Source organism: Homo sapiens, chromosome 4 (assembly GCF_000001405.40).
Source record: "Homo sapiens chromosome 4, GRCh38.p14 Primary Assembly".
Lineage (NCBI taxonomy): Eukaryota > Metazoa > Chordata > Mammalia > Primates > Hominidae > Homo > Homo sapiens.
Window position 1 is genome coordinate 8,464,953 of NC_000004.12, and position 27,314 is coordinate 8,492,266.

The 27,314-nt window shown below is 52.7% G+C and overlaps 1 protein-coding gene across 15 annotated transcripts in view, besides 6 other annotated features; it reads left to right on the forward strand.

Annotated features, from left to right (window-relative positions):
- Window positions 1–27,314, forward strand: part of TRMT44 (tRNA methyltransferase 44 homolog) — a 76,174-nt gene that overhangs the window by 24,176 nt on the left and 24,684 nt on the right. For 7 of the 15 annotated variants that reach the window (XM_047449685.1, XM_047449681.1, XM_047449679.1 and 4 more), the window contains exons 8-10: window positions 426–609; window positions 2,962–3,394; window positions 6,132–6,248. In XM_047449685.1, the coding sequence (XP_047305641.1) occupies window positions 426–609; window positions 2,962–3,394; window positions 6,132–6,248 (734 nt within the window). Of the gene's footprint in view, window positions 1–425; window positions 610–2,961; window positions 3,395–4,028; window positions 5,550–6,131; window positions 6,249–10,577; window positions 14,582–27,314 lie in introns of those variants that run through there. The other 8 variants (XM_011513408.2, XM_011513409.4, NM_152544.3 and 5 more) reach the window with 4 other exon arrangements.
- Window positions 3,897–4,016: an enhancer, noted in NCBI's record as "active region_21296". NCBI's record gives its function as "activates an Ori minimal core promoter by ATAC-STARR-seq in GM12878 lymphoblastoid cells {active_cell/tissue: GM12878}" and the evidence as "EXISTENCE:reporter gene assay evidence [ECO:0000049][PMID:35858748]".
- Window positions 6,313–6,961: an enhancer, noted in NCBI's record as "H3K4me1 hESC enhancer chr4:8472992-8473640 (GRCh37/hg19 assembly coordinates)". NCBI's record gives its function as "activates a minimal SCP1, AML or CMV promoter by ChIP-STARR-seq in naive and primed H9 embryonic stem cells {active_cell/tissue: H9 hESC(naive and primed)}" and the evidence as "EXISTENCE:reporter gene assay evidence [ECO:0000049][PMID:30033119]".
- Window positions 14,190–14,484: an enhancer, noted in NCBI's record as "tiled region #4448; K562 Activating DNase matched - State 5:Enh". NCBI's record gives its function as "activates a minimal TATA promoter and a strong SV40 promoter by Sharpr-MPRA in K562 cells {active_cell/tissue: K562}" and the evidence as "EXISTENCE:reporter gene assay evidence [ECO:0000049][PMID:27701403]".
- Window positions 15,769–16,495: an enhancer, noted in NCBI's record as "NANOG hESC enhancer chr4:8482448-8483174 (GRCh37/hg19 assembly coordinates)". NCBI's record gives its function as "activates a minimal SCP1, AML or CMV promoter by ChIP-STARR-seq in primed H9 embryonic stem cells {active_cell/tissue: H9 hESC(primed)}" and the evidence as "EXISTENCE:reporter gene assay evidence [ECO:0000049][PMID:30033119]".
- Window positions 25,364–26,080: an enhancer, noted in NCBI's record as "H3K27ac hESC enhancer chr4:8492043-8492759 (GRCh37/hg19 assembly coordinates)". NCBI's record gives its function as "activates a minimal SCP1, AML or CMV promoter by ChIP-STARR-seq in naive H9 embryonic stem cells {active_cell/tissue: H9 hESC(naive)}" and the evidence as "EXISTENCE:reporter gene assay evidence [ECO:0000049][PMID:30033119]".
- Window positions 26,188–26,706: an enhancer, noted in NCBI's record as "H3K27ac-H3K4me1 hESC enhancer chr4:8492867-8493385 (GRCh37/hg19 assembly coordinates)". NCBI's record gives its function as "activates a minimal SCP1, AML or CMV promoter by ChIP-STARR-seq in naive H9 embryonic stem cells {active_cell/tissue: H9 hESC(naive)}" and the evidence as "EXISTENCE:reporter gene assay evidence [ECO:0000049][PMID:30033119]".

A 27,314-nucleotide genomic window follows, 5' to 3' on the forward strand; every position in this document is an offset into this window, starting at 1 on the left:
CTATTGCAGAAACCAAAAACGAAATGCCGCATGTTCTCACTGATAAGTGGGAGCTAAACATTGAGTACACAGGGACATCAAGATGGCAGCAGTAGACACTGGGGACTGCTGGAGTGGGGAGTGAGGGAGAGGGCAGAGTTTGAAAAACCCCCTGGTAGTTACTATGCTCACTGCTTGGGTCATGGGGTCTGTCTTACCCCAAACCTCAGCATCTTGCAGTACACCCATGCCACAAACCTGCACACATACCCCCTGAAGCTGAAATAAAAGTGGACATTATATGCAACAAAAAGAAACAATATTGGCCAGGAACATCACTTCCCTATTTTGCCCTGATATGCGATTGCCGTGTGGCTTTGTTCCGAATTTCCTTGACTGCGTCTGCTCAGGATGCTTGACCCTGTGGTTGTTGGTTCTTTTTGAAGGTCTTCCTACAATTGCCGCTTCTTTGTCCTCCCCTGCTGCTTCTTTGACTTCATTGGAAGATACTCCCGGAGGCAGAGTAAGAAGACTCAGTACCGGGAATACCTTGACTTCATTAAAGAAGTGGGCTTCACCTGTGGGTTTCACGTGGACGAAGACTGCCTCAGGATTCCTTCAACCAAAAGAGTATGTCTGATTCTCATGTTGTTCTAGGCGGTGTGTCGGTGTTCAGATGGAGAGCTCAGGGCTCTGCCACAGAGCCATGAACCATGCTGTAACGTTCAAAATGTTCTAGAACGTGCCGGTGCTGATTTCTGTGCCTCTGTCACTGATGAGGCCCAGAGGCTTGTTCTGTCCCATGGTGCCCTCCTTAAAGGCACCCGGTGCTCCCTCCTCCAGGCCTGCAGGAGTCCTCGCCAAGCCCTCCTTGCCTCTCCAGAAGCTCTGAGTGGCCCCAGGGGACCTGCCCAGAGGAGGCCTCAGTGTGGCCTGTGGCTGACCTCCCTGTGGAAAGTTCCTGCTCCTTCAAGTCGCAGATAATTGGCTGCGATTGAAGTGTGTTTCAGAAGTTCACAGTGATTTCCCATTTTCTCATTAAAGGCCTAGTTCATTCAGATTCACCTGAAATGTCATTTGGGCAGAAGTTGGCCCGGGGGCTTTCTGTAAGCAGTGGGACTGTGCCTCTGACCTTTGTGTGGACAGGGCAGACTTATGCCCTCTTGCCGCTCCAAAGGCTTGACCTTTTGAAAGTACCGTGGAAGTGTTTACAGCAGCTCACCTATGTCTCTGGTAACTTTATTTGACAAGACTGTGGCTGGCAGACAGTGTGCTTTTAAAAAATAACCCCGTCGTGTCCAGGCCACAGAATTTGATGGCTGCCTTAGCAAGAAAGGGCCCAGCTGATCTGAGTGAAGCCTCGGCTCTGCTGCTGCCCGTGGTGCACTCGGGCTGATCGCGGAGCTCCGCTAAGCCTGTCCTCACCTGTGAGACCAGGAGGAGGCTGCCCGGGTCTCTGTGGGGGCTGGACAGGATGATGTCTTCAGAGCCCACAGCGGGGAGGGCATGTTGTGGGCACTCGCTGGCCGGCTGCCGTCATAGCCGTGCACCAGGAGCAGCGTTGGCTTGTGGCACAGGCCTCAGGGCCGCTGGCGCTGTCACTGCCCTGCTACCGTGGGAAGTTACCTTAGGACTCGCTGCTGAACCGTCCCGTCATCCTCTGTGTCCTCTGTTTTTGGCAAGTCTTGGTCTTCTGAGTTCAGAATTGATTTGGGGAAACTGCTAAAGTTTGGGTCCTCTAGGCGGGTCCGAGGAGCCCGTGGCTTTGATTTTTGCACTTGCTTCTCCATTACTAATTGGTAGAGACCGTGGACTGTCGCTTCATCTCTCTGAGCTTCAGTTTTCTTATCACTGGCAGGTTTGGGGATCGAATGTAAGAGTGGATGTGAACGTGCTTTGTCATTTTTAAAGCAGTTCACACACAGCACATGTCTGGTGGGGACTGGGTGTGTGACAGGCACTGAGAATTTAAAATCCCGCTGGAAGAGCTGGGGAGCAGAGGTGTGGCTGTCACGTAGTGAGGAGGTCGGCTTCCTTATCACCCGCGCCTGGCCTTGTAGTTGATGCCTGGAGAGGAAGCCCAGAAATGAGGTGCCCTTGCTGGGGCTGGGCAGGGCCTGGTTGTCCGGAGGGGACTGTCTGAAGGGCACCCTCCATCGGGGTGTGCGGCAAAGGGAGGCAAGCACGCATGGAGCACCTCTATGGCTCCAGGCCCTCTGCGCAGCCCCCGTATGCACTCGCTGGCTCTGGCAAGGTGGGGACAAAGCTGCCTCCCTTCCCAGCCCCTGGGGCACTCTGCAACTCTGCAGCGTTACCATCAGCATGTGCCCCCGCCGGGCGGCCGAGGGGTGGAATGAGGGGCGGCAGCGGGAAACTAGGACGGTGCGGCTGCCGGGCCCAGGAGTGTGGACTCTTGAGTTTAGGCGCCTTTGTTAGATCTTGTGAAGGTCCAAGATCTAACAATGATGAGAGGGAACCATGGGCTCTTACTGTTTTTTTAATTTTTAAGTTACTTATATTGGTGTCAGTTTTTATTTTGTATTTATTTTTATTGATTTATTTATTTTGAGATGGAGTTTTTGCTCTTGTCACCCAGGCTGGAGTGCATTGGCACAATCTTGGCTCACTGGCCTCTGCCTCCTGGGTTCAAATGATCCTCCTGCCTCAGCCTCCTGAGTAGCTGGGACTACAGGTGAGGGCCACCACGCCCGGCTAATTTTTGTATTTGTAGTAGAGACGGGATTTTGCCATGTTGGCCAGGCTGGTCTGAAACTCAAGTGATCCGCCTGCCTTGGGCTCCCAAAATGCTAGGATGATAGGAGTGAGCCACCGTACCTGGCTGGTGTCAGTTTTTTAAATCAGGATTTTTTCATGATAGACATTGAAAACTTGTGATTTGTACTCCAGGATGAGAGAATTCCATGGAGAACGTTGAAATAGACTAGCCAGCTAAAATACTTGCTTTGCTTTCTTCAAACGCAGGTCTGTCTCGTTGGAAAATCCAGAACATACCCTTCCTCCAGAGAAGCTTCCGTGGATGAAAAGAGGACTCAGTACATTAAGAGCAGGCGGGGCTGCCCTGTAAGCCCACCTGGCTGGGAGCTTTCCCCTTCTCCACGCTGGGTTGCTGCTGGCAGTGCTGGTCACTGTGACGGTCAGCAAGCTCTGGACGCCAGGGTCGGGTGTGTAACCAGGGCCTGGGCCGCTGAGCATGGAGCAGGGCCCCAGGCTGAAGGACCCTGGCTACCTGGATTTCATCCCAGAGAAAAGGCTGAGCGTGTGAGGAACTGTGCCGCCCTGCCACGAGATTTTATTGACCAAGTGGTTTTGCAAGTAGCGAATTTACTGTTAGGTGGAAAGCAATTAAACACAAGAAGTTCTCGAAATGGGAGTTTGAAGACCTGGAATGGGGGAGGTAAGCTGTCCACCATCTTAGGGAGGGGCTAGCACGCTCCCAGGCTTGAGGGCAGGAATTCACGTCTTCAGAACCGACATGAAATGGTGTGGCCCTGTGACTACACACTTTGAAAAAGCCATTGATGGTGGGTGCATAGGCTCTCTTCAAGCAAATTCTTTAAAATTTTCCAAATAGCTCTTATAAACATAAAGGACTTTGTTATTTCCAGGGAGTGACAGAGTTTGGACCCTTAATTAACTTTTACCAAACATGCAGGTTTAGGGGCTAGAACTACTCATTTTCAATCTAGAAATTATCCAAAGAGAAAACAGGTTACTGAGTGCAAGCAAAATGCACTGTCCCCTTGAGTATGTGGTAAGATTTGGAGCTGTTGTGATTCGATAATTTAATTCTCTTTGAAATCCCCAAAACACAACAATCATCCATGGCAAAAGGAGAAAATTACATCGATTGTTCTCATGGGGTGAGTGGTGTGCTGAAATTATGTTCTCAGGTGAGTGGTGTGTTGAAATTAACGGCATTCAGAGAGCCAGCCAGGGCTGTAAGGACCTCGCCTCCTTCCGGGCAGGGATGCTGCTTGGCCGCCAGAGGGTGGTGTAGAGCTGCAGCCAACGCCTGGCTTCTCTTGCAGTTTTGGGAACTGGAGAAGAGCACGGAGCCCCATCCCCTCCCGGCCCCTCCGTCGGTGACTTCTGCCTGGCTGCGCATTTGAGGGAAACCCTTCTTCTCCAGGCTTTGCTTTCCTCACCTATGAATGTTGGGACAAAATCATACCCGTTTCCTTCTTCATCCTTTGTCCTCTTGTACCATGTGTACGTGGGATGGGACCGGGCCATGGAGCATAGACGGCCCCTCCAGAAATCATTCGAACCTGATGGTACCTGGTCAGCAGAGCCTCTAGCCATCTGGCGAGAGTGGCCCTGGCTCAGTGGCTGATGGGGCCGACTAGCTGCAAACCACCAGGCACCGTGGGGCCTCTGGGTTGGCCCTGCTGACTAAAGGCACCCTGCTGTGGTGGGGCTGGAGCACAGAGGAAGAAGGCTGAGGCTGGCAGAGCATGGAGCCCACCACAGGCAACTGGGACCCAGAGCCCCAGGGACATCAGTGTGGTCTGAAAGTTCCCACGTGCAGTAAACAGTGACAGTTCTTGAGTGCAGTTTGACCTTTAAATTCCCAGGAGATGACGGGCACACAGATGTCAGCTGTGCCTGGGATGGACGGCTTTCGGTGGGTGAGGAGGAAGGAGGAACAGACCTGGAGATGGAGAGCGGGGATGGGTGAGCGGTGGGCTCAGTCCTGCCTGCGCCTTGGAACTTGGGAATCAGGGCACCTAACAGGCTCTGGACCCCCGTCCCCTCCAGATGGGTGTCCGTGGGTCTGGGGCTTGTTAGGGACTCTCCACGTGGCCTTGGCCTCTCAGCCCACTGCCTCCCTCCCGCCCACAGGCGGCCTTCAGGGCCTTTGGTCGCCCCCACCCAGCCTGTCCTCAGGCAGGCACCTCTGCGTTTCTGTGCCTGTGGGCCATGTGTGGCTCTGTCTCCAGGACCTCACCCATCCTAGCTCGGCGTCTGTCCCTGTGGGACACTGCTGAGAAATAGGGTAGGAAAGGGCCCTGCCCTCAAGAGGCTCCAAGTCCTGCCTGGCTAGGAGTCAAGACCGCACACGTCAAAGGATGAGAAACCAAGAGGCCGGATATGCCAGGCCAGGAGGCACCCATGGCTGAGTGTGAGATTCCCTGTTATGGAGTCCATGCTGGGCCAGAGCCGGGGCAACAGGGAAGGCTGACTGGGACAATATGTGATCTTTTTTAAAACACTCCCGCTCCTCTCAGAATGGATTTGAGACAGCCGAGAGGTGGACTCAGAAGGTTGGCCAGGCTGGGTGGGCAGGATTCTCGCAGCAGCTGCGACAGCGGCTGCCAGCACCAGGCTCCTGGGTCAGGAGTGTGGTGTCCTGATCCGTAGGGGTCTGACAGGCTCAGCTGCATACAGACAGGCGCCGTCTCCTCCGCTCTCCTGCAGCTTGGGAGGGTGTGGATAAGATGTGAGGTGCAGCACCTGGCAGATAGGAAGTTCCTGGCAAATACATGCAGGAAAACCAGCTTTCATTCATATCCAATTTGATGTTTTGGTAATAAATGACTTTAATGTCACCAGGTTTTCTGATTAGAGCATTTTGAAATACCTGCAGGCTCTCAAAGCAGAAATTCGAATGGGAAAGAGACCATCACTGTGGTGTCTGTGCTGTTCCTTTTTTTAGTGCCTAGCATGGCCTTGCTGGCCACCCTAGAGCCGGTAGCGCCAGGCTGGCTGCCCCATGGTTGGAGCAGCCACTGGGAAGGCTCAGGCCCCAGGCTTGCCAGCTTGGCCTTCCTTCTTTAGTCTGAGAAACCCTGGCTCCAAACAGCCACCCCCCTTCATGGGTCACCAGTGAGAAGAGCTTGAGGTGACCACCCAGAGCAGGCAGCATCACCTGACGCCTGGCCCTGTGCGGGCATGGGGCATGTGTGGGGCTGCGTCTTGTCAGGCTGTGCCACCTTAGCTGGGTGGGGACGCCACGGCCCTCACGGTTTGGTGCGGTGTGGTGTGGGTTAGGTGAGATGGAATCGTCCTTCGTGCTGGAGTGCATAACGCGTGTGAGTGTATGGAACTGAAATGGACTGTTTCTGCCTGTGTGACAGGTTCGTAATATTTTGCTGTTGTTTTGGGGAAAAAAAAAACCCGTTTTTCCACAGAGAGCCTATCTCTGGCAGAAGTAGCCAACGAGCTGGACACGGAGACCCTGCGGAGGCTGAAGCGGGAGTGTGGGGGCCTGCAGACGCTGCTCCGGAACAGCCACCAGGTGTTCCAAGGTACGGAGTCCGCCTCTCCCCCGCCGTTCTTTCCTTCTTTTTCCCCCTTTTTTCAGTTAAATAATGTTTTATTTTAGAGTGGTTTAGACTCACTGAAGAATCTGACAGAAGCAGCAAGTTCCGCGGTGCCCCACCCAGCTCTGACGTGGGTGGCATTTGACCTCAGGGTGGGACGTGGGTCACCCCGTTCCCTCCTTGCTCCTCTGGACCTCGTCCCATGCGATGTCCCCAGGCTGGTCTCTCTCCCCCTATGCTGTGCTTGCTGACGCCTCAGCTCCACTTGCTCCACGCAGGACAGAGCAAGTCGGGTAGCCGCTGGCCGGTCCCCTGTTGGCTGGGGGTCATTGTTTGGCGTCATCTTTAGCTGCTGCAAACTGAAAGCATCCTGAGCCACAGAGCCAGGGTGGGGAGTGGGAAGAGTGAGCCCTGCCCCACAGGCGGAGGCCTGGACTCCTGTGGCCCTCGCCCCACGGGCCTGGGCAGGCGGAGGTCCTGGTACCCAGTTCCCCTGCTCCCCAACGCCCTGTGACTCCAGGACTGCCAGGGTATGGGGAGGCAGGAGGGCCCTCCACCCGCTTGTCCATTCACTCAGCCCGCAAAGCAAGGCAGACACATCCCTGGCCTTCTGGAGCCGGTGGTGCAGTGAGGGAGGGGGGAGATGTAGCAGGTGCTCACCCAGGTGCCAGTGGTGTACACACTTCCATCATCTGCAGCTTCCAGGTGTGCACAGAGGGGGCAGGAACAGGGCAGGGAGCCATGGTTTACCAGCGCCAGCGGCTGGGGAGTTTGCCATAACTTGCTTTGTGGCGCTTTTTTTTTTTTTTTCCTCTTTCTGTAAGTATTTTAAAGCAAATTCTAGCTAGCATGCTATTTCACCCCTAAGTACTTCCACGTGCATCTTTAAGAATAGTAGGTGTCTTCTTGTGTCACCACCATGCCCTAAGCACACATTTCTGTGAGTTGTGATGTGCAGGGAGAACTGGCCTGGCCCGAGTGGGCTCAGGAGGGCTTTACTTAGGAAATGACACTTGAGCTGGGCCTGGAAGGAAAAGAGGAGTCAGGAACAGAGAACAGCTTTAGGCAGAGCGAACAGCATTTGCAAAGAGCCAGGGTTGGGAGGAGTAAGAGTGGGAGCTGGTCGGGTTACAGCCGCCATGACCAGGAAAAGGACTGGGCCTCTGATGGGTAGGGATGACACCGAAGTCACAGTGGGAAGGAGTGGCCTGGCTTACACCCTAGCTTCTGGGTCCCCTGCCCATGAAGTAGCCGTGGGGATCAGGTGCAGTACAGTGTCTGGCTCTCTGGGTGTGTGAGAGAGCACAGGTGTGTGTGCCATTCCTCATGTGTACACAAGAGTGCAAGCGTGTGGGTTTGTGCACACACACACACTGCCTTTGTGTGCCTGCCTGCTCCTGGAGAGCTGAACTTGGCTTTCAGCTGAACTGGCCTCTCTAGGTGAGAGCTGCTGTTGGGTGGGGGGCCGGTGAGCATGGTTGGAGCCTGTGTTTCTCGGGGCAGGCGCAGAAGCGTGTCCCTGAGGCTGCCCCCAGAGTAGACACTGGGCCTGCAGTGCTGGCTGGGCTGGGCCTGCTGGCTGGGCTGGGCCTGCTGCCTGGAGTCTGCTCTTCCTTGCATAGAGCTTTAGGCAGTTAGAATACTTCCCACCTCCACGGGGCCTCTTTCTGTCTTTCCCAACACTTGTTTTTGTTGGTTTCCTGAAATACTGTCTTTTTCACCCATGATGAGTCTGCTTGTATGTCAGTGTTTTTCTGTGCAGGTCACCCTGGGGGGGCAAACTTGTTTTTGGAAACGCTTCTGAGTAGGAGGCCTGGGAATTGGGTTCCAAATAAACATTCTCCTCCAGTCATGCGAAAACTATGCTCTGAAGCTGGGTCTTATCTCTGTATGAGGTTTAGGTTTTGTTTTAAGCTAACGTGGCTAGTCTCAGAAAATGTTTATGAGAGTGAGGAATTGGAAATGTTTCCAGATGGCTTCAGGTCAGCCAGCCCTGAGCATGACCCATGAGGGCCACAAGGGCCAGCCCTGCCTCTGTCCCTGCCCCTTCCTGAGGCCGCCAAGGGGCGGCGCGCTGCATCCATGCTGGCTGGTATGGAGCCTGGCACCGTGCTGCCGGGTACACGCGGGGCCTCATCTCATCCTGCACTCATGGCAGAGCAGGCCTTTCCTCCTTGAACATGTAGACAAGTCTCAGAGAGGTCAGTGCGCCGGCCCGATGTCTCCCAGTGAGTGGAGAGGCCACGCCACAGTCCGGGCCAGGTCTGACCCAGCACTGGCACCCCTGAGCCTATGGCATCATCCGAGGACTGTAATCCTCAACCCGTTCCTCAGAGCAACTTGGTGAAAGGGAGTGTCTGTCTGCTGTCAGAAGCAGTGGTGGAGATGGCGGCTCCTGTGCTGAGGTAGAGTCCCAGGGGATGCGCACGGTAAGGAGGGAGGAGGCGGCAGGAACTTGGGTGGAGCAGACTGTGGCTCTGTGGTTCCATTTCAAAATGAGGAGCACATTTCCAGAGGAGGAGAGTCTTTCTAGCTGTTGGTTGTCTTTCTAGCTGGCTAGAGCAAGTGCCTCTGGAAGGCCGCCCCTTCTGGCACCTGGCCAGATGGGGGCTCAGGTGTTAAGAGGGGCGGCCGGGAGCTACCTGCCATGTCCAGGGTTGTAGACACGGGGAGTGGGTCAGTGAGGCTGGGCCAGCCTGGAGCCTGCCTGCGCCGTTCGGGAGCCTCATCTCTATCATCAGCGCCCGCTCCTCAGTCCTTAGACACCCTGCAGGTCCTGCTTCCAAAACATGGTTGGGTGTGCTCTTAACTCCGGAGCCGCGTGGGAGGGCCTGCCGCCAGCTGGCCTGTCACGTTGTGGTGGGGAAGGGGGTGCCGAGGCTGGCTCTGAGGGGAATCTGTACTCAGCCTTTGGCCTCAGTGATCCCCCACCCCCCATTCTCTTGACAGGTCAGGGCATCAGGCCAGAGGCCCCTCACTGTTTGGGATCATGGGGAGTTGGGGGGAAGCTCTGGCCCCTGGGGCTCCTCCTGAGCACCCTTTAGAGGGTTCCAGGTCCCTCAGTGGCCAGGATGTGCCCTTCTGTGCTGCGCCAGGAGGTGCTGCTGTGGGGACATGGGCAGAGTGTCGCGGGACTGCCTTAACAGGAGACTTCAGGTTAAGAAACCTCAGCTCCAATGTTGGGAGGCGAGACAGAGAGGCAGCCGTGGGAGGGCAAACAGGGTCAGGCCTGGCCTTGGCGGTGCTTCCAGCCAGGCTGTGAGGGTGAGCCCCCAACTGTGGCGCCGTTCTCTGGGCTCATTTCTCTAGTTTCAGGGGAAACTGTAAAACATCAGTCTGTCAAAAGCACACAGGCTCGTTATTGCCACACACAAGGTGATTTGAAGGCAGAATTCGAGCTTTAATTCCTACACTTTCAAGTTCTCTTTGGAAGTCGGTGAGCCAGACTTCCTCACTGAGGCTCCTTTATTCCCCCGAGCCTTCTGTCGTGAGCGGTTTCCTAGCTTCCAGCGAGAACCAGGAAGGAGGTGGTTGCTTTGGCCATGTTTCACGGGGAGTTGTTGGATTCCCACAAGGAAACGGCCAAATGGGAGCGTAGGGGGGTATCTCGGCCCAATTTGGGCGGCGGGGTCAGGAGGCAGCCTAGAGGAGGCCTGCGAGGCCTGGGACCCAGGTGACGAGCGGGCCCACAGCAGCCCTCTCCTGGCCCCACCCCACTCTGATGTCCCTCCAGCTCCCCAGTTTGGAGATCAGCCCTGGCCATTGGGTCCCAGTGGCACTTTCAGAGGGGGTATCTAAACTACTGCACATAGGCAGGTCCCCCTTCGTGTTCCTGTTCCAGAGCTCATTGGCCTCTGTTACTCCACACTTGCACCTGGAGGGGCTCCGGTTGGGAGGCGCATGTAAACCCAGTGCACCGGGACGGCACCAAGGAGCAGAGGCTGCCCTGCACCAGCCCCGTCCTTAGACTGCGTGGAGGGACCTGCGCCTTGCCCCTCTTTCTGCCCGTAATGCTGACACAGTCCTCAGAGGTCGGGGCTGCAGCACAGATGTTTTCTCGTGTTTCGGCTCTCACACCGTGGTCCCTCCTTCCTCCACTCAAGTGATCCTTCTAAAATGGTGGCTCTGCAGGACCTGCCTCTCAGCCAGAGGGAAGGTCGGTGGCCTCAATGATGAGGCCACAAGGGACCCAGCTCTGTCCTCTGCCCTCCCCTCTGGCTGTCCCTCGAATGTGGCCAGTCCTGGTGCAGTCTGTCCTGGGACACTCGGGTTTGCTGCTGCTTTGCCTAAAATGCTCTTCCTGGGTCTGCGCAGGGCTGCCGCTCACTTCCCGCAGGGCTCACCTTCCCCGGCCTTGCCTGAAGACACATCCCATACCTCAGTCACTCCCACTGGAGGCAGACTCACTGTGACCAGCAGGAACTCTAGGCTGTGTTCCGGTTGTATCCCTGACCCTGGATTGGCACCTCCCGTGGCGTGGGAGCTAAAGAGAGGCTGGTGAATTAAGGAACTTTCAGGTTTACTTCTCAGTGTGTCTTCTCTGTTCCAAACCACAGTTGTGAATGGGAGAGTTCACATCCGCGACTGGCGAGAGGAGACACTGTGGAAGACAAAGCAACCGGAAGCGAAACAGAGACTGCTCTCTGAAGCCTGCAAAACCCGCCTCTGCTGGTTCTTCATGCATCACCCTGATGGCTGCGCTCTGTCCACGGACTGCTGCCCGTTTGCCCATGGGCCTGCGGAGCTGCGGCCACCCCGGACCACCCCGAGGAAGAAGATTTCATGAGCTGCATCCTTGCCAGCCGAGGCCTGGTTGGGGAGGCCAAACCAAGGAGAGCTTCCCCAGCAGTCGTCAGTGCTGTGGTCTCTGCTCTGGCTGTGTTTCAGCCCACCTCCTCCCAGCTTTCTCCACATCCTCACAGTGATGAACCGTATTTCATAAACATCACACGCCAGAGAAGCCACAGTTACTCGGAAGCCCCCAGCTGACTGCCTGGCTTGTTTCAGATGCAGCCGCTTGAAACGTGCGCAGCATCTTCATATCATAAAGATTGTGCACGGATCCTTACAATGTCTCCTGGGGGAGAGCGGCTGAGGCTGCCTTGCACAGGCCCTTCCCAGGGCGCTGTCCGACGCCTGCCCCACCATGTCCACATCTGTGAAGAGGATGGGGCTCCTCGAGAAGTAAGACCGTATCTGCCAGCGTTTCTCACCACACTGGAGAGCAGCTGCTCTGGAGCAGGGATCCACCAGATTGGTATTTTTAAAAAAGGTGTCAGGCTTGCTATGTTGAGGTTGTTTTTAGAGTTACAGAGAATAAAAACACTCATAATTTCCTGACATGGGCCACTCTAAGTGGCATGAAAAAAAAATCCTAAGTGAATTGTTGACAGGGCTTTAAAAATGTAAATATCACAGATGACAAAGGTAAGACCTACACCTTCCTCCCTCCTCCATGAGACCCTCTCCCCAGAAATACTGCAGCAGTCCTTTTTAGTCCTTCCAGAAAAAAAAATCCTGATTTGTTTCTCTTTTATTTTTATGAAGTGATAGGGTCTTGATCTCTCGCCCAGGCTGGAGTGCAGTGGCAAGATCATAGCTCACTGCAGCTTTGAACTCCTGGGCTCAAGCCATCCTTCTGCCTCAGCCTGTCAAGTGACTGGGACTGTAGATGCACGCCACCATGCCTGGCCAACTTTTAAAATTTTAGAGGCGGGGTCTCGCTATGTTGCCCAGGCTGGCCTTGAACTCTTGGGTTCATGCAGTCCTCCCACCTCAGCCTCCCAAAGTGCTGGCATGACAGCTGCGAGCCATGGCGTCTGACCCCCGATGTTTCTATTTAAAGTTATTTCTATGGTTTTATACAAAAGGTCACATGCAGTCCACACTGTTCTGCCGTTGACTTTCTGCAGTGTACCCTGGTGCCTCTCCATTGGGTATATCTGCCTGATTATTGGCAGCAGCCGTGTGGCATTCCGTGGCAGCGCCGCACTCATCACACCTGAGCAGTGAGAATAAATGGGCATCTTCTCTGAAGGCACCTCAGCTCTGCAGCACCACGGGGCGGCGCTGCCACGGGCCCAGACCCTGCCCTCTGAGTTCCAAGTCAGTCCCAGAGCGCAGATCCCAGGCTGAGGATGTGCCAGGAGGTGCCTGGCCCTGGAAGTGTCCACCCTTCATCTTACTGGGAGACTGGCGCTCCGTGGCCCTTTGGGGCAGGCCCCAGTTTGTCGAGCAGCTGCAGCTCTGACTAGTGAGGCACAAGGGAGCTCTGCTGAGGCCTCTGGGGTCCCCACGCTGGGAAGTTCTCCCTGCAGGGGACACCTGGTGTAGAAGCCCCGAGGGAGCAGCCAGGAGCCCAGCACTGAGGGTGGTGGAGCAGGTAGATGGAAAGAACTCTCTTCCCAAAGACAAGCCGCAGAGCCGCATCCCTTCCCCAGCCCCTGTGTTAGGCCGTGAGGCATCTTCCTGCCAGGCTGCACCAGGGCTTTCAGGTTTTGTTGCTCAGCACATCCAGGGTCATGCACTTCAGGACAAGCCACCTGATGCCCCTCGGCCCCCCAGTCCTGCAGCCTCGCTGGAGCTCTCCCTGCAGCAGGAAGGGCTGAGGCCAACCACAAAGGGGCTTGGGGCGACATCAAGGGATGGCAGAGCGAGAGGGAAGTGCAGGGAGCCTGGCCCAGAAGACCAGCCCTGCCGCCGCCTCCTGGAAGGGGCACACCTCCTGAGCTAAGCCCAGGATGCCGCCCAAGCCTCGGGGCCTCCCAAGGTGTCCCCCATGCCAGAGTGTGTGGCCTCTGCCAGGCCCAGGATGGCTCCAGGTGGTTGGACTCCCATTTCCTCTCCCCTTCCCAGGTCTTTCCCAAGCCCAGAGCCCCTGCTTTAGTTTTCCAGTGTGGGGAGACAGGAGAGTGGCCACAGAGCCTGGTTCTGCGCTTGGTGCTGCTGGACTCCAAACCTGGCTCTGGAGCTGCAGTCCTGGTGAGGGCGGTGGCCCTGGGGAAGATGAGCTCCCCAACACTTGTTACGGCAGTTTCCAGTCACAAGCCGCAAGGACACAGTCTCAAAGGAGCATCAGATGGGGTTGGGGGCATGTGGGGTGGCCCTGGCTCTCCCAGGTGGGGTCCTGCCAGGCCAAGAGCTATGCTAAGTGGGGCCCACCATGGCCATAGGCCCCTCCGTGTCACCTGGCATAATCAGCTGGTAGAAACAGCCCTTGGGGACTACATCACCTGACCTGATCTCCAGGTTCCAGGTACCATTTCTTACTGCCCCCCAGCAGCACTGTGCCCCTGTCCACAGGTCATGTGACTGGGTGTCGGGCACGGTTCCCTTGCAGCAATGAACAGTACATCTGTGGATGAAGGTGGGCAGATAGAGGTTTGGCGGGGGGTGGAGCGGGGCACTGATCATGGCAGCCTGCTGTGGCCAGCCCCAAGGGCTTCCCGGTGACTTCTCAGAGCCTGAATGTCTCCCCTGGACAGGTGGGATCGAGGGAATGCCATGAAGGTGGGCATGAGGGGGAATCTCGCCAGGGGTACAGTGCGTCTACACTGCTTTTCAGACTAGTGCCACGCAGGCACTAGGTCTCACTGGCTGAGGGGCAGCCTCTGTCCCCAGGCGCCGCGACTTGCCCCATCTGCTGCAGAGGAGGCCCACCTGTGGTGAGCATTGTGGTCTTGGGGCCTGCAGGCGCCCTTGTGGAGTTACCATGGTGACCGCAGCCCCTTGGACTGGTGCTGGGGATTCAGACACCAGGTCACGTAGGCCTTGGCTCGTGGCATGGCCAAGCCCTGGGGTCTGTCGGGGTTGGCAGGGCAGGCTTCCTGGAGGAGGGGCTGAGGCCGCGTATTCTCCCTCTCATCCTGCCATCCGCTGCGGCTACTCTCCAGGGCCACAACTGTCACAGAACGAGGAACCCGGGCCTTGTGCAGAAGAGCCTTGTGTAGGTGGATTGAGAAGAGAGTCCCAGAGGAGAAGCTGAGCCCTCTGCTGACTTGCCCCCAGCTCATTTCTGCTTGACCTTTCCTTGTTGCCGTTTTTGCTTGGAAACTATATTGTGGACCTCATCATTCTGGGAAAAGGTGGTTCACGAGAAAGCACAGTCATGTGTCAATTAACAGTGCAGATGCATTCTGAGAAATGCGTTGTTAGGTGATTTCATCATCCTGCAACATCAGAGTGTGCCCCGCGCTCATGGATGAGACAGCCTGCCCCACACCCAGGCTGTGGGGGACGGGATGGCCTGTTGCTTCTGGACCAGACGCCTGCACAGCACATTAACTGTGCTGAATGCTGTAGGCAGTTGTAACGCAATGGTAAGTGTCTGTATCTAAACGTAGAAAAGGTATAGTGAAAATATGATGTAAAAGAGAAAACATGCTTCAGCTGTGGAGGGCACATGCTTCAGCTGATTGGGGCCTGTGGACAAGGCTGTGGGTGTCCGTGAGGGAGAGGGAGTGCCTCTGAGGCCCTTCTGCAGGCTGGATGAACAACACACTTAGGCCACACTCAGTTTATACTAAAAAAATGTCTTCAATAACACATTCACTTGAGCTTTTTTCTAACTTGTTAATTTTATGAATTTTAAAAACATTTTTGACTCTTTTTTAATAACAGCTTAAAACACACATCGTACAGCTGTACAAAAATATTTTTCCTTTTTTTATTTTGTTTTTTTGAGACGGGGTCTTGTTGTGTCACCCAGGTTAGAGTGTAGTGGCGCCATCTCGGCTCACTACAGTGAGCCTCAGCCTCCCGGGCTTAATTGATCTCCTGCCTCAGCCCCCCAAGTAGCTGGGACCACAGGCACGTGCCACCATGTTGCCCAGGCTGGTCTTGAACTCCTGGACTGAAGCGGTCCTCCTGTTAGGGGTGGCGAATATTTGAGTTGTCAGTGGTGAATTCACATGGGTCTGCAGCAGCCTCAACTCTTGCCTCCTTGGAAGAAAGAATTCATCTGAAGAGCATAAGGCGGAAAAAGGAGACTGAGGCAAGTTTCCGAGCGGGAGTGGAAGTTTATTAAAAAGCTTTAGAGCAGGAAAGAAAAAGTACACTTGGAAGAGACCCAAGCACGCACTGTGGAGGTGGAGTGCAGCATTTGACCTTTTGACTTGGGGTCTTATATATTGGCGTACTTCTGGGGCCTTGTGTCCCTTTTCCCATGATGCTTTCCTTAGGGTGGGCTGCCTGCATGCACGGTGCCCTCCTTGCACTCCGGACGTGAGCATTCGCAGTGGGTTTGTGAAGTTGTATGTATGTTTGCCTGAGGCTGCTTCCCTTTTCCGGTAGGACGCCCCCAGAAGGTCATACTCTGCCATTTTGTCTCTTAATGCGCTTGCTCTAGCCCACTTACCCAATTCCTGAGATTTTATTGGAAGCCGCTGGTGAGCAATTTCAAGTGCCTTTATCTATTGGGAAATTGCCTCTCCCTGGCGCCTGCGACCAATGATCATTTTTAGACAGCCAGTGTAACAACTGTGGGACCATCACCTCAAGGACTAAACTGATTTTTTATCTTGCCCAAATTCCTATCTAAGGGGTCTGGGGAGTCCTGCCCTGCAAATCAGAAATTCTCATCAGATGGGTTTTATTTAACCCTATATATTATGACTTACTTTCCAACCTGACCCTGGCATAACATTACAAGTCAAGGAAGAAAAATCAAAGTAGTTTACCTCAAAATGTGTTTAACCATATTTTGAAATGACCCTACAAAGCTGTTTTGTGTGGGGGAAAATTTGCATCTGTAAAGAATCTCTGTTAACATAGCTAGATCTTTTTCTTCCAGACCCTCCCAATCCTGAGGAGATTAAAACTCTAGCACCTTTTGAAAGATCTGAATAGGAAACAGTTGTCATCTATTGTCTCTAAGGGCAGCGACTATTAGACTTCAAAGAACTTTGGTCTCCACAATCTTTATCTTAACTTGAACATTTCCTTTCTATCAATCCCAGGTCTTCAGACAAACTCAACCAATTGTCAACCAGAAAATGTTTAAATTCACTTGTAGCCTGGAAGCTTCCCTCCCCTGCTCCGACCTTTGAGTTGTCCCGCCTTTCTGGACCAAACCAATGTATTTCTCAAATGTATTTGATTGATGTCTCATGCCTCCCTAAAATACATAAAACCAAGCTGTGCCCCGACCACCTTGGGCACATGTTCTCAGGACCTCCTGAGGACTGTGTCATGGGCCATGGTCACTCATATTTGGCTCAGAATAAATCTCTTCAATATTTTACAGAAAACAAATACTTTACAGGGATCTACTCTCTTCGTCGACAACCTGATGCTCAGTCACCTGACATTCCTGGTGGGTTGGGGTAGCCCTTTCCTGTCCCGCTGCTGCCTGCCTACCAACCTACTATGTCACTCCTGCCTCACCCTCCCAAAGTGCTGGGGTTACAGGCAAATATTCTTTATATTATATCAGCTTTTCTCTTTATGCTTTTTTACTTTTAAACTTTTTTGTTAAAAATGAAAAGAGAAACACACACATTAGCCTAGGCTAGGCCTACACAGAGTCAGGATCATCAATATCACTGTCTCCCACCTCCTCGTCTTGTCCCATCAGAAGGTCTTTAGGGGACTAGCACACCTAGGGCAGTCACCGCCTGTGATAACAGGGCTGCTTTCTGAATCCATCCTGAAAGCCCTGTCTGAGGCTCTTCTTGAGGAATTGTCACTCTTTTCAGAAACATGGCCATGGTGATGTGCTTGGTTTCCTTTTTTCATCATAGATTTGCCTGTAAGCAGATAAGGCACTATGAACATTCCTGTCTATGAAAGAAAGCCTTCCGTGTTGAGGTCTATGCTTCAGACTTGTTAAGGTGCGTGTCGAGGTCTGCAAAGCTTTTGCTAAACCCTTCACTGTAAATTTTCTTGGGGCTCATCTTGTTTTTCGCCAGTTGCCTCTTCTCTTGCCCCTTGTTCAGCTCTGCGTCCCTCTTCCAGTTCCAGCAGCTCATTTGTCAGTTCTTCAGGAACCGCCTGGAGGCACTCCTCAACGGCATCCTCCTCCACCCTAGACTGGAGTTGTTTGCCGTCCTAGCCACAGCCGTGTTGAGTTTTGCAGCCTCCTCATCCTGGGCAAATCCTTTGAAGTCCTGGGTGAACTCTTGCGTGTCCTCCTCTGGATGCCACTCACGCACACCTTGGCAGGCACACCTGGGTCATCACCCCTTTCATGAGCGTCCGCGTGAAGAGACCACCAAACAGGCTTTGTGTGAGCAACATGGCTGTTTATTTCACCTGGGTGCAGGCGGGCTGAGTCCAAAAAGAGAGTCAGCAAAGGGAGATAGGGGTGGGGCCATTTTATAAGATTTGGGTAGGTAAAGGAAAATTACAAAGGGGGTTTGTTCTCTGGCGGGCAGGAGTGGGGGTCGCAAGGTGCTCAGTGGAGGTGCTTTTTGAGCCAGGATGAGCCAGGAAAAGGACTTTCACAAGGTAATGTCATCACTTAAGGCAAGGACAGGCCATGTACACTTCTTTTGTGGTGGAATGTCATCAGTTAAGGTGGGGCAGGGCATTTTCACTTTTGTGATTCTTCAGTTACTTCAGGCCATCTGGGCATATACGTGCAAGTCACAGGGGATGCGATGGCTTGGCTTGGGCTCAGAGGCCTGACATTCCTGCCTTCTTATAATAATAAGAAAAATAAAATAGTGTTGAAGTGTGGGGGCGGCAAAAATTTTGGGGGGGGTGGTATGGAGAGATAATGGGCAATGTTTCTCAGGGCTGCTTCGAGTGGGATGAGGGGCGGTGTGGGAACCTAGAGTGGGAGAGATTAAGCTGAAGGATGATTTCGTGGTAAGGGGTGATATTGTGGGGTTGTTAGAAGAAACATTTGTTGTGTAGAATTATTGGTGATGGCCTGGATACAGTTTTGTATGAATTGAAAAACTAAATGGAATAAGAGAAGGAGAAAAACAGGTATAAAAGGTCTAAGAATTGGGAGGACCCAGGACATCTGATTAGAGAGTGCCTAAGGAGATTCAGCATAGTCCTGCCAGCAAAGATTATTTATTTACTTCAAGAGTTAAGAGTAGCAGTTTGGGGATAGCACCAGGAGATATCAGCTGTGATGGCTTGGAGAAACAGTGTAAACTGGCAGTGTAAACAAGAGCAGGGCATGTATGAGTAGTTGAGAACGGTGAATAGGAATATGACTAGACAGAAGATAGTAGGGTTGACAAGTTTTTTTGGGGGGGGGCACGGTCTAAGTTGGTCTGGTGTCTGGAATGAGACTGGGGCCTAATAAAAAGGAGCGTCTATACAGGAGCTCAAATGGGCTGTACCCTGTAGCATTCTGAGGACAGGTCTGACTTCTGAGAAGGGAAAGTGGTAAAAGTATTGTCCAGTCCTTTTTAAGTTGGTGGCTGGGCTTGGTGAGGTGTGTTTTTAAAAGACCATTAGTCTGTTCTACTTTTCCTGAAGACTGAGAACTGTAAGGGATATAAAGGTTTCACTGAATACTAAGAGCCTGAAAAACTGCTTGGCTGATTTGACCAATAAAGGCTGGTCTGCTATTGGACTGTATAGAGGTGGGAAGGCCAAACTGAGGAATTGTGTCTGACAGAAGGGAAGAAATGACTACGGTGGCCTTCTCAGACCCTGTAGGAAATGTCTTTACTTATTCAGTGAAAGTGTCTATTTAGACTAAGAGGTATTTTAGTTGCCTGACTCAGGGCATGTTGAGTAAAGCTAATTTGCCAGTCCTGGGTGGGGGCAAATCCCTGAGCTTCATGTGTAGGGAAGGGAGGGGGCCTGAATAATCCCTGAGGAGTAGTAGAATAGCAGATGGAACACTGAGAAGTTATTTCCTTGAGATTTCCAGGATGGAAAGGAAATGACAGGTTCTAAGAGGCGGGCTAGTGGCTTGTACTATAGCATAGCCTGCCTTTGCTGGTGTGTGGCGATTAGGCCTGGTGGAACTTCCATCAATAAACTAAGTGTGATCAGGGTGAGGAACAGAGAAGAAGGAAATGTGGGGAAATGGGGTGAACGTCAGGTGGATCAGAGAGATACAGTCATGAGGGGCAGGTGTGGTATCCGGAATAATGTGGGAGGCCAGATTGAAGTTGGGGCCAGGAACAATGGTGATTGTGGGAGACTCAACAAAGAGTGAGTACAGCTGAAGGAGCCGGAGAGCAGAAAGTATATGCGTCAGGTGTGAGGAAGAACATAGATTTTGGAAATTATGAGAGCTGTAGAGAGTGAGTTGAGCATAGTTTGTGATTTTAAGGGCCTCTAAAAGTATTAGGGCAGCAGCAGCTGCTGCACAGAGACATGATGGCAAGCCTAAAACAGTAAGGTCAAGTAGTTTGGACAAAAAGGCTACACGATGCGATCCCGGTCCTTGTGTAAGAATTCCTACTGCACAGCCCTGCACTTCAGCTGTGTGTAATGAAAAGGGTTGGGATGAGTCAGGGAGAGCTAGAGAGGGGGCAGTTTCTAAAGTTGTCTTCAAGGAACAGAAAGAGGAGTGGGGAAAGGATTTAGGATCTATGGGGTCAACTAGGTTTCCTTTTGTGAGTTTATATAATGGTTTTGTTAGGATGGCAAAACCAGGTGTCTAAAGGTGAAAGTATCCAACCATGCCCAGGAAGGAAGGGGTTGTTTTGTAGAAGGGTTGGGGTTTGAGAGATTAGTTGGACATGAGCGGCAGGGAGAGCACAGGTGTTTTTATGAAGAATTATGCCGAGATAGGTAACAGATGGAGAAGAAATTTGAGCTTTGGAGGGGGATACCCGATATCCTTTGGAGAATAAATGCTGAAGGAGCAGAAGTGTGTCTTGTTGAGAAGATTCAAAGGAGGGGCTACAAAGAAGGTCATCAATATATTGAATAAGGTGAGAAGCAGAGGGGTGGAAATAAAGTAAATCATGAGAAAGAGCTTGGCTGAAGTAATGAGGGCTGTCCCTGAAACCTTGAGGCAGCACAGCCCAGGTAAGCTGCTGGGACTGATGGGTGTCAGGGTCAATCCAGGTGAAAGCAAAGAGAGGCTGGGATGAGGGGTGCAGGGGAATAGTGAAAAAAGCATCTTTAAGATCAAGAACGGAATAGTGAGTTGTGGAGGGAGGTATTGAGGACAAAAGAATGTACGGGTTGGGCACCACAGGGTGGATAGGCAAAACAATTTGGTTGATAAGGCGCAGATCCTGAACTAATCTGTAAGACTTGTCCGGTTTTTGGACAGGTAAAATGGGGGAATTGTAAGGAGAGTTTATAGGTTTTAGAAGCCCATGCTGTAGCAGGTGAGTGATAACAGGCTTTAATCCTTTTAAAGCGTGCTGTGGGATGGGATATTGGCATTGAGCGGGGTAAGGGTGATTAGGTTTTAATGGGATGGTAATGGGCATGTGATCGGTTGCCAGGGAAGGAGTAGAGATGTCCCATACTTGTGGGTTAAGGTGGGGGGATATGAGAGGAAGATGCGAAGGAGGCTTTGGGTTGGGGAGAAGGGCGGCAATGAGATGTGGCTGTAGTCCAGGAATAGTCAGGGAAGCAGATAATTTGGTTAAAATATCTCGGCCTAATAAGGGAACGGGGCAGGTGAGGATAACTAAAAAAGAGTGTATAAAAGAGTGTTGTCCAAGTTGGCACCAGAGTGGGGGAGTTTTCAGGGGTTTTGAAGCTTGGCTGTCAATACCCACAACAGTTATTGGGGCGAGGGAAACAGGCCCTTGAAAAGAAGGCAACGTGGAGTGGGTAGCCCCCGTATCGATTAAACAGGGGATGGACTTACCCTCCACTGTGAGAGTTACCTAAAGCTTGGCGTTGGTGATGGTCCAGGGGGCTTCCAAGGTGATCGGGCAGCGTCAATCTTCAGTTGCTAAGCCAAGAAGATCTGGGAAGGAGTCAGTCAGAGAGCCTTGGACCAGAGTTCCAGGGGCTCTGGGAGTGGCTGCCAGGTGAGTTGAACAGTCCAGTTTCCAGTGGGGTCCCGCACAGATGGGACACAGCTTAGGGGGAATCTCGGGCTGCGGGCATTCCTTGGCCTGGTGGCCAGATTTCTGGCACTTGTAGCAAGCTCCTGGGGAAGGTGGTTCTGGAGGAACGCCTGGCCACTGCGGTTTAGGCATTTGGAAGTTCTTGTGTGCTGGAGATGTGGCTGGGGTTTGTCTCACAGTGGAGGCAAGGAATTGCAACTCAGGAATATGTTGCTACTTGGCTGCCTCTATTATTGTACACCTTGAAGGCGAGGTTAATTAAGTCCTGTTGGGTTTGAGGGCTGGAATTTAATTTTTGGATTTTTATTTATTGGATTTTATTTATTTGGATTTGGATTTAATTTTGGATTTTTATTTAATTTTTGGGAGCAGATAGGGTAATAAAATGTATATTGAGAATAGACGGCCTTCTGACTTTTTAGGGTCTAGGGCTGTAAAGCGTCTCGGGGTTGCTGCCAAACGAGCCGTGAACTGGGCTGGGTTTTTATATTTGATGAAAAAGAGCCTAAACGCTATCTGATTTGGGATAAAGAAAAAGGAGCATTAACCTTGACTATGCCTTTAGCTCCAGCCACCTTTTTAAGAGTAAATTGCTGGGCAGATGGGGGAGGGCTACTCACGGAATGAAACTGTAAACCGGACGGGGTGTGAGGAGGGGAGGTGATAAAAGGATTATAGGGTGGAGGAGTGGAGGCTGAGGAAGAATTGGGACCTAGCTCAGCCCGGCGAGGAGCAGCCCAGGGAGGAGGGGAGAGGTCAGATGGGTCTGTAGAAAAGGAAGATTAGAAAGACTCAGTGACGCTTGGGGTTGGGACTGAGGGGACAGGCGGGAGGGAAAGAAGGAAGGTTTGGGACGAGTTGCACTGGGCACAGAGACTAGGAAGGGACTGATGTGTAAAAGAATGCCTGGACGTCAGGCACATCAGACTGTTTGCTATTTTATGACAAGAATTATTTAGATCTTGCAGGATGGAAAAATTGAAAGTGCCATTTTCTGGCTATTTGGAACTACTGTCGAGTTTGTATTGGGGTCAAGCGGCATTGCAGAAGAAAATAAGGCATTTAGGTTTTATGTCAGGTGTGAGCTGAAGAGGTTTTAAGTTCTTGAGAGCACAGGCTAAGGGAGATGGAGGAATGGAGGGTGGAAGGTTGCCCGTAGTGAAGGAGGAAAGCCCAGAGAAAAGAGAGAGTAGAGACAAGGAGGGAAGGGGTTCGGGGGTTCTTACCCTCCAGAAAAGCGGGAAAGGGGTCGGATCGTGGAAATAAGGGGTTGAGGTGCAGAGATAAGAGGTCGGGGCATGGAAATAAGGGATGGGGCGCAGAGATAAGAGGTCGGGGTGCAGAAATAAGGGATTGGGGTGTAGAGGTAAGAGGTCGGGCCATGGAAATAAGGGATCGGGGTGCAGAGATAAGAGGTTGGGGCATGGAAATAAGGGATTGGGGTACAGAGATAAGAGGTCGGGGCGTGGAAATAAGGGATTGGGGGTTCTTGCCCCCTAGAAAAGCGGGACTTACCACTAAGCGTGAAGGAGAAGGGGTTGAGGGGTTCTTGCCCCTGCCTCAGAAAAGCAAAAAAGGGGTAGAGACATGGAGAGAAGGGGTTGGGGTACTTACCCCTCCCCCAGAAAAGCAGGACTTGCCACTAAGGGTGAAAGACCAAGGCAGGCGTCCATGAGTGGTCTGACACCTCTGAAACCTGGGTGAATAGTCAGAGAGGCGTCCCTGCAATGATTAAACACCAAGGGAAGGCTGCCTTCCCTAGTCTGTGACCGGCGCCGGAGTTTTGGATCCACGGATAAAACGTGTCTCCTTTGTCTCTACCAGAAAATGAAAGGAATTGAAATTAAGAGAAGGGAGAGATTGAAGTGTGGTGCCAAGATTGAAAGGAGAAAGAGGTTGAGTGATAGTGAGGGAGGTTGGAGAAGAGAGTAAAAAGAGGCCACTTACTGGATTTGAAATTGGTGAGATGTTTCTTGGGCTGGTTGGTCTGAGGACCTGAGGTCATAGGTGGACCTTTATCATGGAGCAAAGAGCAGGAGGACAGGGGATTGATTTCCTAAGGGAGGTTCCCCGGTCCGAGTCATGGCACCAAATTTCATGAGCGTCCGTGTGAAGAGACCACCAAACAGGCTTTGTGTGAGCAACATGGCTGTTTATTTCACCTGGGTGCAGGTGGGCTGAGTCCAAAAGAGTCAGCGAAGGGAGATAGGGGTGGGGCCGTTTTATAAGATTTGGTTAGGTAAAGGAAAATTACAGTCAAAGGAGGTTTGTTCTCTGGTGGACAGGAGTGGGGGTCGCAAGGTGCTCCGTGGGGAAGCTTTTTGCCTCAGGATGAGCCAGGAAAAGGACTTTCACAAGGTAATGTCATCACTTAAGGCAAGGACCGGCCATTTACACTTCTTTTGTGGTGGAATGTCATCAGTTAAGGTGGGGCAGGGCATTTTCACTTCTTTTGTGATTCTTCAGTTACTTCAGGCCATCTGGGCATACACGTGCAAGTCACAGGGGATGCGATGGCTTGGCTTGGGCTCAGAGGCCTGACAACCCCAAGCTCAAACAAGGTTTCTGGTGCAGCCCTAGATGCCATCCTTCCACAGTTGCATCAGTGCCTTCTCGGCAGACTCTTCAGCTGAAGCTATAGCCCAGGCAAAGGACCTCCTCAGCCAGGAGGACTTAAAAGCTGCTATGAGTGCTGTGTCCATGGGATCAAGGGAGTGGTATTTGGAGGGGGAACCACTGCGACGAAGGGAGGAAAATCACCAGTAAGAGGAGGATGTGTGGGAGCAGCACCACCCACAAGCAAGATCTTGAAAGGAACTGTGTTACCTGGCAACGCAGAAGGGATGAAAATCACCAGTAAGAGGAGGATGTGCAGGAGTAGCACCACCCACAAGTAAGACCTTGAAAGGAACTGTGTCATCCGGCAACTCAGGAGGGCCTCTTGGAAGAGGAGTGGGCTATTCCTGACTGCCTGGCTCCTGCAGTGCCCTGGCCCCATGTGCTCACTGTTTCGCTTGAAGGCCCTGGGGCTGTCATTGCATGGGATCACATTCATAGCCTGCAACATGGCCACCAGGCAAGGCTGGTGTCCTGTCCTTAAAAGCCTGGAAACCTGGCATTGACTTGGCCTCCTTATGGATGACAGTGAAACACCTATGCAAAAATTCTATCAGTGAGAAAATGATGATGGTGAAAGAGATCTGAGCTAACCCACCCCCATCTTACCTTTCCCTCAATTATTCCTGGGCCATAGGGCTGGGCTAACTTTGGAAGACAGGCTGTAGTTTTGTTTTCGTTTTGTTTTGTTTTGTTTTGTTTTGTTTTATTTGAGATGGAGTTTCACTCTGTCACCCAGGCTGGAGTTCAGTGGCACAATCTCGGCTCACTGCAACCTCCGCCTCCCAGGTTCAAGCGATTCTCCTGCCTCAGCCTCCCGAGTGGCTGGGATTACAGGTGTTAGCCACCACGCCTGGCTAATTTTTTGTATTTTTAGTAGAGATGGGGTTTCACCATGTTGGCCAGGCTGGTCTCAAACTCCTGACCTCAGGTGATCAGCCTGCCTTGGCCTCCCAAAGTGCTGGAATTACATGCGTGAGCCACCACACCCGGCCTAGGCTGTAGTTTAAATTATAATAGGCTTTGCCCCAAACTCAACTGCTTTTGTAAAGCTAATGGAAGGCCGTCAGACTGGGGGAGGAGAGGAGTCCTGCTAAGGCACAGACATGAATGATTGCCAGCCATTATATCAGAGGTTAAAGACATGCAACTTCCCCAATTACTCCTGAAAATAGCATCACTATTGTAGAATCCAAGATTGGCCTTTTGAGATATGTTTTCAGATTTTTTGCATGTCTGACACCCATGGCTCCACTTGGACCCGTCAACCCCTGCTCCTGTGGCCCCCACAGAGGCAATTCAGCCCACAGGAGGACAGCTTTGATCCTGTGTGATTTCATCTCTGCCCAACCAATCAGCAGCAGGCACCCGTTCCTTGGCCACCCCCACGCCTTCCCCGAAACTGCCTTTGAAAAACCCCTATCCTACAAGCTTTGGATGAGAATGATTTGAGTAGTGACTCTGTGTCTGGAATTGGTGGGTTCTTGGTCTCACTGACTTCAAGAATGAAGCCACAGACCCTCGCGGTGAGTGTTACAGCTCTTAAGGTGGTGCGTCCGGAGTTTGTTCCTTCTGATGCTCAGATGTGTTCGGAGTTTCTTCCTTCTGGTGGATTCGTGGTCTCGCTGGCTCAGGAGTGAAGCTGCAGACCTTCGCCGTGAGTGTTACAGCTCTTAAGGCAGCGCGTCTGGAGTTGTTCATTCCTCCCAGTGGGCTGGTGGTCTCGCTGGCTTCAGGAGTGAAGCCGCAGACCTTCGCGGTGAGTGTTACAGTTCTTAAGGCGGCGCGTCTGGAGTTGTTCATTCCTCCCCGTGGGCTCGTGGTCTCTCTGGCTTCAGGAGTGAAGCTGCAGACCTTCGCGGTGAGTGTTACAGCTCATAAAAGCAGCGTGGACCCAAAGAGTGAGCAGTAGCAAGATTTATTGCAAAGAGCGAAAGAACAAAGCTTCCACAGTGTGGAAGGGGCCCCGAGCGGGTTGCCACTGCTGACTGGAGCAGCCTGCTTTTATTCTCTTATCTGGCCCCACCCACATCCTGCTGATTGGTAGAGCCAAGTGGTCTGTTTTGACAGGGTGCTGATTGGTGCGTTTACAATCCCTGAGCTAGATACAAAGGTTCTCCACGTCCCCATCAGATTAGTTAGATACAGAGTATCGACACAAAGGTTCTCCGAGGCCCCACCAGAGCAGCTAGATAGAGAGTGTCGACTGGTGCATTCACAAACCTTGAGCTAAACACAGGATGCTGATTGGTGTGTTTACAAACCTTGAGCTAGATACAGAGTGCCGATTGGTGTATTTACAATCCCTGAGCTAGACATAAAGGTTCTCCAAGGCCCCACCAGAGCAGCTAGATACAGAGTGTCCGATTGGTGTATTTACAATCCCTGAGCTAGAGATAAAGGTTCTCCAAGGCCCCACCAGAGCAGCTAGATACAGAGTGTCGATTGGTGCACTCACAAACCTAGAGCTAAATACAGGGTGCTGATTGGTGTGTTTACAATCCCTGAGCTAGACATAAAGACTCTCCACATCCCCACCAGACTCAGGAGCCCAGGTGGCTTCACCTAGTGGATCCCGCACCAGGGCAGCAGGTGGAGCTGCCTGCCAGTGCCACGCTGTGCGCTCGCACTCCTCAGCCCTTGGGTGGTCGATGGGACTGGGTGCCGTGGAGCAGGGGGTGGTGCTCGTCGGGGAGGCTCGGGCCGCACAGGAGCCCATGGAGTGGGTGGGAGGCTCAGGCATGGCGGGCTGCATGTCCCGAGCCCTGCCCCATGGAAAGGCAGCTAAGGCCTGGCGAGAAATCGAGCACAGCGCCGGTGGGCCGGCACTGCTGGGGGACCTAGTACACCCTCTGCAGCCGCTGGCCCGGGTGCCAAGTCCCTCACTGCCTGGGGCCAGCAGGGCTGGCCGGCTGCTCCGAGTGCAGGCCCGCCAAACCCACGCCCACCCGGAACTCCAGCTGGCCCCCAAGCGCTGCACGCAGCCCCGGTTCCCGCTCGCGCCTCTCCCTCCACACATCCCTGCAAGCTGAGGGAGCCAGCTGTGGCCTTGGCCAGCACAGAAAGGGGCTCCCACAGTGCAGCGGTGGGCTGAAGGGCTCCTCAAGTGCCGCCAAAGTGGGAGCCCAGGCAGAGGAGGCACTGAGAGCGAGCGAGGGCTGTGAGGACTGCCAGCACGCTGTCACCTCTCAACTCAGTCTCCCACATGGCGTGGCCACCCTTGTGTCTGTTAAACTCTTTCTCTACAAAAATGCCATGGTCTTTCTTTGTGCAGTGGTCAGGAAAAACCCCTTGGGCAGATACAAAAGTTCTTTCAGGCATCTGTTTCCAGAATAGCGAGGTTTCCTCCATATTGAAGATTTGCTGTGGCAAGTAAATCTCCTCCATAATCAAGCTTCCAAAACTCTTCAGCTGCCTTCACATCAGCACCCACAGACTCAGCATTCATGTTAACATTATGTAATGCATAACGATCCTCAAATCA